The sequence below is a fragment of the Homo sapiens genome, chromosome 6 (genome assembly GCF_000001405.40).
Source record: "Homo sapiens chromosome 6, GRCh38.p14 Primary Assembly".
Classification (NCBI taxonomy): Eukaryota; Metazoa; Chordata; class Mammalia; order Primates; family Hominidae; genus Homo; species Homo sapiens.
In genome coordinates, this window is record NC_000006.12 from 166393144 (window position 1) to 166400473 (window position 7330).

The window sequence follows — 7330 nt, forward strand, 5'->3', positions numbered from 1 at the left end:
AACCTTGAGCTAGACACAGGGTGCTGATTGGTGTGTTTACAAACCTTGAGCCAGATACAGAGTGCCAATTGGTGTATTTACAATCCTTTAGCTAGACATAAAGCTTCTCCAAGTCCTCACTAGTCAGGAGCCCAGCTGGCTTCACTTAGTGGATCCTGCACCGGGGCCGCAGGTGGAGCTGCCTGCCAGTCCCGCGCCGTGCGCCTGCACTTATCAGCCCTTGGGTGGTCGACGGGACTGGGCGCCGTGGAGCAGGGGGCGGCGCTCATCAGGGAGGCTCGGGCCACACGGGAGCCTACGGGGGCGGGGGGAGGCTCAGGCATGGCGGGCTGCAGGTCCTGAGCTCTGCCCCGCGGGGAGGCAGCTAAGGCCCGGCGAGAAATCGAGCGCAGCGCCGGTGGGCCGGCACTGCTGGGGGACTTAGCACACCTTCCGCAGCCGCTGGCCCGGGTGCTAAGCCTCATTGCCTGGGGCCGGCAGGGCGGGCCGCTCCGAGTGCAGGGCCCGCCGAGCCTACACCTACCTGGAACCTGCGCTGGCCTGCAAGCACTGCGCGCAGCCCGGGTTCCCGCCCGCGCCTCGCCCTCCACACCTCCTCGCAAGCTGAGGGAGCCGGCTCCGGCCTCGGCCAGCCCAGGAAGGGGCTCCTGCGGTGCAGCGGCGGGCTGAAGGGCTCCTCAAGTGCCGCCAAAGTGGGAGCCTAGGCAGAGGAGGCGCCGAGAGCGAGCGAAGGCTGTGAGGACTGCCAGCACGCTGTCACCTCTCAGTGGCATTCACTCGCATGTACTGAACTATTTAAAAAACTGTCCATGGGGAAGAGATGGGGCAAGACGGCCGAATAGAAGCCTCCACTGATTGTCTTCCTCACAGAAACACCAAATTTGACAACTGTCTACTCAAAAAACACCTCTATATGAACCGAAAATCAGGTGAGTATTCACAATACCTGGTTTTAAGTTTATATTGGTAAAAAAGTAGGAAAGACAGCTTTGAATTGTCTACACCGCTCTTCCCCTATCCCCTGGCAGCTGCCCTGTGGTTCAGAGAGAATCTGTGTGCTTGGGAAAGTACAGTATCTGTGGGACTTTGCTTTGGAACACCGCACTGCCAACACCAGGTAGAATTCAGCTGATACCCAGGGAGGGAGCACCTAGACCAGCCCTAGCAGAGGGCTATCGCCCATCCCAGTGGTTGGAACTTGAGTGGAAAACTTTGCATTCTCAGGGTGTTGTCCAGGCCTCTCTGGACCCATTTCTAAATGTGATATGAGAGAGGGAGTGAGTAGCCTGCTGAAGTGTGGCATAGTTGAGGTGAATGCGCTATATAACACAATTACATAGATTAGCCAGAAACATTAAACTGCAGAATAAGATCTGTCTATTCTTCAGAAACCTTTCACCCACAGAATGGTTTAAAGTTTGACTGTGTTGAATTTGTTTGCTTGACCTCAAAGAGACTTCCACGTGGACAGCTGTGATGAGACTGGACGTAGTCCTAGCAAGTCTGAAAGCTAGTATTTGTGTGCCTCTATGCCTTGGCCTGACTCCACTCTTACAGGGAGCAGGTGCAGCTTAGCAGCCTCCCCTGTCGATCAGGCAAAGTTTGGTGTCCTTGGATCATTCAGCAGAAGGGGACATTGCCTGCAATAGTAACGAGATACTGTCAACAAGTCCCCAGAAGGAGAGAGGGAACTGGGGCTGGCTGGGCACTGGCTCTGTTCCATTCGTTTCACAGCTCCCTAGCCCTGACATCTCTCAGGAGGAGGAAGAAGTTTGCCTTCACTGCATGTCACGTTTCAAGTCATCAAGCTCCTAAGATGCTGATTTGTCCCCACACAGTTCATAATGGCTGGAGCCACAATTTTTTTTTTTTCTAGACGGAGTCTCGCACTGTCACCCGGGCTGGAATGCAATGGTGTGATCTTGGCTCACTGCAACCTCCGCCTCCCGGTTCAAGCGATTCTCCTGCCTCAGCCTCCTGAGTAGCTGAGATTACAGGTGCCCGCCACCATGCCTGGCTAATTTTTTTTTTTGTCTTTTTAGTAGACACGGGGTTTCACTATGTTGGCCAGGCTGGTCTCGAACTCCAGACCTCGTGATCTGCCCACCTCAGCCTCCCAAAGTGCTGGGATTACAGGCATGAGCCCCCACGCCCAGCTGGATCCACAGTTTTAACCTGTGACTGCCGAAGTGTATACATTTTTCTACTTTCATGCCCTGCCAGTCCTGTGTGTGGAAATTCAAGTTTTCCAGTGGTTTTTTGAGGTGGGAGAGGTGGGAGCAAGAGGAGGAGGAAGTTTTTCCTAAGAAGTCCAGCTCAGCTCAGACCTTTCATGTGGCTCACACGCGTGTCTGTGTTTTCTCACTCATGGCCAATCGCGCCGCCTTTCATCCAGCCCACAGCCCTGCCAAGGGCCTGCCCGTTGCCTGAGTGTATCTGGAGTTCAAGAAAACACAAACAGATAAGCCATCTGCAGTGCTCACATTCCAACTGGAGAAATAGGCTAAAAGAGAGGGAGGTGGGTGGGGGAAGAAAGGGAGGGAGAGAGAGAGAATTACTGCATCCAAAATTATGCTAATGACAGAAGGGCCAGTGGCAGAGAGCTGGGAGGGAGCCGACCTTTGATGGTGGGTGAGGTCGCTCTTGTGGACAGGATAATCAGGGCACCTCTCTGAGGAGGTGACATCTAAATCAGGAGCAGAGGCAGAGGCATGGGAAAGGTGCTCCAGGCAGAGGAGGCAGCAGAACAAAGGGCCCCGCATGTCCTAGTAGCCTCAGGGAGGGAGGCTAGTATGAGGGTTCGGCTAAAACTTGAGCTTGGAGCAACTCTGTCACCTGCAAGGACAAGGAAGCTTGAAGCGTCTGCATGGTGGAGGCACCAGCATCCACGACCAGCTCCAATATGGGAACCACATGGTCAGCCTCTGAGATTTTGGAAAATCATGCCCTTTAGGCAAACAGCTGTTTTCTTTTTGAGAAATGTATTTCTCCTGGGCCCTGGAAGACTAAATGCCTGGTCCGGGGACCCCAGTGTCCTGCCTGCCCTTCACAAAATGCTGCTCTCGGACTCGCCCAGCCAACGAGCTGATGTACCCAGCAGGGGTCCCTCAGGAGGCAGAAGTGGATAGGTGATATCCAGCAGGGGTCCCTCAGGAGGCGGAAGTGGATAGGTGATATCCAGCAGGGGTCCCTCAGGAGGCAGAAGTGGATAGGTGATATCCAGCAGGGGTCCCTCAGGAGGCAGAAGTGGATAGGTGATATCCAGCAGGGGTCCCTCAGGAGGCGGAAGTGGATAGGTGATATCCAGCAGGGGTCCCTCAGGAGGCGGAAGTGGATAGGTGATATCCAGCAGGGGTCCCTCAGGAGGCGGAAGTGGATAGGTGATATCCAGCAGGTGTCCCTCAGGAGGCGGAAGTGGATAGGTGATATCCAGTGGCTGGGGGCGGGGGTGGGGGCGGGGGTGGGGGTGAGGGGCAAGCACAGGTGTGTGCTGTGTAAGCAGGTGCCCAGGCCCCTGGAGAACCTCCCACTGCACTTTCCCTGTGGCCTCAGCAAGGAAGGGGCCCTCGCTGACTGGATGAGTAGGAGGGTCCCCCAGGCCTGGTCTGGTCTGGAGAGAGCTCTGTACATGTGTGGACCCCAGTATGTGGACCACATGCTGCTTCTGCTCCAGTAACACCTGTGGGTTAACTCGGTGCTTCTCCACATGGTAATCACACAGTATTGTTTCTGACCAGGAACCTCACAGCAACGTGTTATGTGCTGAGTATCTGGGTCCTCCCAAAATTCATGTGCTGAAGACCTGGCCCCCTGCGTGATGGTGTCTGGAGGTGGGGCCTTTTTGGGGAGGGTTAGGTTTAGATGAGATCATATGGGTGGGGCCCCATGATGGGACTAGTGCCCTTGTAGAAAAGGAAGAGAAACCTCTTCCTACAGCCATCTCTCTCTGCCATAGGAGGACACAGTGAGAAGGTGGCTCTTCAAGCCAGGAAGATGTCCCTCACCAGGACCTACATTTGCTGGCACCATGAGCTTGGACTTCCAGCCTCCAGGATGGCAAGGAGTCCATGTGTGCTGTTTAAGCCACCCCTTATGTGCTACTTCGTCCCAACTGCCCAAACCTGGAGCAAGGGAATGAATGGGCTGATACTTCCAGGATTCATGGGTCTCACCATGTTCAGGAACTGTGCCTCTTTAGAATGAGATGCGGCCTACTGAGGGGTCCTCACAGCCCTGGTGGGACTGGGGTGCATCCTGGTTGAGCAGTGCATGCTCTGAGCCACTGTACTATCTGGTGCCTTTTCTCCCCTTGCAGACTCTACAAGTGGAGATTGAAGGACTGTACGTGATAGTGGAATTACTCACATTGATACCCAACAACTTGCCAAGAAACTATTTCCTTTCTCTGTGCTCCGGGGCCCTGCTGGGGGAATGCTTCCCCTAGGGACACCAATGCTGTTCCGCCACCCTGGCTCTCAAGACTGTGCCATCACAGGCAGGGGCCACACCATGGGGCGGCCTCTCCTGACTGGCAAGGGGGATGTCAGGGCACTGTTCCTCCATGCGGCAGGGAGGAAGCACCCCCGCACCACCAGCCCAGTGGGGAAACATTAACAGAAGACAGCAGCAACCCAAGGGCAGGGGCCCTCCACCTTCTGGGACCACAGGGAAATACAGACAAAGATTCCCAAGCAGCTCTGGGGCCAGGTTCGAGGACGGTGTGAGAGGGGCAGCTGGGAACATCACGGGTACAGGGACCTGCACAGGGGCTGAGGGCTGTGCCAGCTGTGTTGGCTTCCTGCAGCTGCCATCACAAAGTCCCACAGGTGGGCAGCTTAAACAGCAGGCTGCTCTCACAGCCCTGGAGGCTGGAAGGCCAAGATCAAGGTGCTGGCAGGGCACATTTCTCCTGAGGCCTGTCTCCTTGGCTTATAGAGGGCCACCTTTTCCCTGTGTCTCTTCACATCGTCCTCCCTGTGTGTATGTCCCTCTCTGTGTCCAGATGTCCCTTTCCATAAGAACACCAGTCATGCTGGATTAGGTCCCCCCACCCCAATGACCTCATCATCACTTGATTACCTTAGTAAAGGCCCTGTCTCCAAAGACGGTCACATTTTTAGGTACTGGGGTTAGGACTTCAACAGGATAATTTTTTTTGGAGGGGTGAAACCTTGATTCAACCCATGACAGTAGCTATTCACATTTTCATCCTGGGCCTTAGAGGAACTGATTTCTTCCACCACCCCCATTTCCCTGTTACCTTATATAGATTGTGCTGATGGTGGCCAACTTCCTGCGTTGCTCATGGTTTATAGGTGTTCAGTCTGAACTGGACTGGAAGAGAAAGATTGTCCAGGGCTGTAAAGAGAGACTGGTGAGACTTGGGTTTTGTCTTTGGGAGACGATGTGCATGTTTTCATTGTTTGTGAAGAGCAGCTGTGTTATTTGGGTGGGGATGTCATGGCTGCCATCACTGTTACTTTGGAGGTGAACAATAGGAAGAAAGTTGTGTGGAGACTTTGAGCGGCTGCAGGCTGGAGTGTGGTGGATAGGACAGATGGGTTTTTTGTACTCAAGCTATTTGAAAGCTGGAATCTCAAACTTCCTTGAAGCATTAATTTCCCCTGTGACTTGAGCTTTCCTGAGCAGCTATCCATGTGAGACTTGCAGGGAGGTGGTAGCCACATCGAGCCACCTCTGCAAGCCAGGGAGCAGGATGATCGCTGTGACCAGGGTGGCTGAAGCAGGTCTAGCTGCCAATGTCCAGAAGCTCCTGCTTGTGGACTTTCATGTACCAGCAGCCTGCTTATCGAGCATTTGAAATGTGGAGAGTGTGGCCACACAATTAAAATTTAAATTCTATTGAATTTCAAGTAATTTAAATTGTAAGTAGTTTAAATACCAAATATGGCTAGTGGCTAGCAAGTCAGACAGCACAGCGTGAGAGCATACCTTTAAGGTGGGTGTGCCTAGAGATTCACCAAAGAGAGCTGATGTGGCCAAGGTCACAGGGGCTTTGTATGCTGGACCAAAGAGCCCAGAGTTTTCGATTTTTCTCTTGAAGAACAAGAGCTGCTGAAGTTGTTGTTGTTGTTTAACATAGTCAGGTGATACGGGCACAATTATTTTCTGACAGAATTTTAAGCTGCTATGTGAAGAGATTGAGAGAGGCAACGTGGTGGCAAGATGCCAGCCAAGAGGTTACTACAATTGCCTGGATGAGACGTGTCGATTGCAGAGACAAGCTGGAGGTGATGGGAATGGGGAAAAAGCGCACAGTCAAGAACTCTGCAGGGGAACACCTGTTAGGATCTGACCGCTGACGGTGTGCTGGGGGGTAAGACGGAAGCTTCGGACCCCAGGATCTTGGGATTTATCACTTGCAAATGGCATGTATGGGAATGTCTCAGCGGAGTTAGGGAATGAAGGAGCAGTAGCATGTCCAGGCGGAGGTTGGGTGAAGATGTGGACGCAGGATTGGAAGGGCCGGTGTGAAGTGCTGTCTCACATCCAGGTGGCAACGTGCAGCGCACAGCGGGCAGAAGCTCGAGGAAGCCCCAGCTAGAGACAGCACTTTCTTGTTTTCAGTCACCTTTGCGCTGCAGGTGGTATTAAATAGTGCTTCTTCAGGCCGGGCACGCGGCTCACGCCTGTAATCCCTGTGAGAGGCCGAGGCGGGCAGATCACGAGGTCGGGAGATCGAGACCATCCTGGCTAACACGGTGAAACCCCATCTCTACTAAAAATACAAAAAATTAGCCGGGCGTGGTGGCAGGCGCCTGTAGTCCCAGCTACTCGGGAGGCTGAGGCAGGAGAATGGCGTGAACCCAGGAGGCGGAGCTTGCAGTGAGCCGAGATTGCGCCACTGCACTCCAGCCTGGGTGACAGGGAGACTCCGTCTCAAAAAAAAAAAAAAAAAAAAATAAGAGTGGATCGACAGAGTCTTACGTGATGCTGTGAAATACAGCTGCTGGGCTTCATTTCAGACACATTGCCTAAGACTCTCTTCTTATTACCCGAGTCACTGATTCACAACCACTTTCACCCTTGAAGATCCTTTGTAAAGTTAAGTTTTTTCCTAACAGACCTGTTATATAAAGACTTTGTCTTATAAGGAAGTATTTATTATGTAACATGTTTGTCCCCTCTAAAGAGGACAGTTTAAAGGAGACATTTAAATTTCTCCTTCATGTGAGACATCCAGTGTTAGTATACTGGGTTAATATAAAACCAAACAAAACTCAAATAGACATGACTTTTCACCTCTGCAGGTTTACGGTGTGTGAACTTATGATTCTCATCAACTTTTCTTCCTTTCTTTCTTTTTTAT

The 7330-nt window shown here is 52.7% G+C and overlaps 2 annotated features.

Moving 5' to 3' along the window:
- Window positions 371-554: a silencer, noted in NCBI's record as "fragment chr6:166807002-166807185 (GRCh37/hg19 assembly coordinates)". NCBI's record gives its function as "represses an EF-1alpha promoter that drives an FKBP-Casp9 reporter gene in an ReSE screen in HepG2 liver carcinoma cells {active_cell/tissue: HepG2}" and the evidence as "EXISTENCE:reporter gene assay evidence [ECO:0000049][PMID:32094911]".
- Window positions 6594-7098: an enhancer, noted in NCBI's record as "H3K4me1 hESC enhancer chr6:166813225-166813729 (GRCh37/hg19 assembly coordinates)". NCBI's record gives its function as "activates a minimal SCP1, AML or CMV promoter by ChIP-STARR-seq in naive H9 embryonic stem cells {active_cell/tissue: H9 hESC(naive)}" and the evidence as "EXISTENCE:reporter gene assay evidence [ECO:0000049][PMID:30033119]".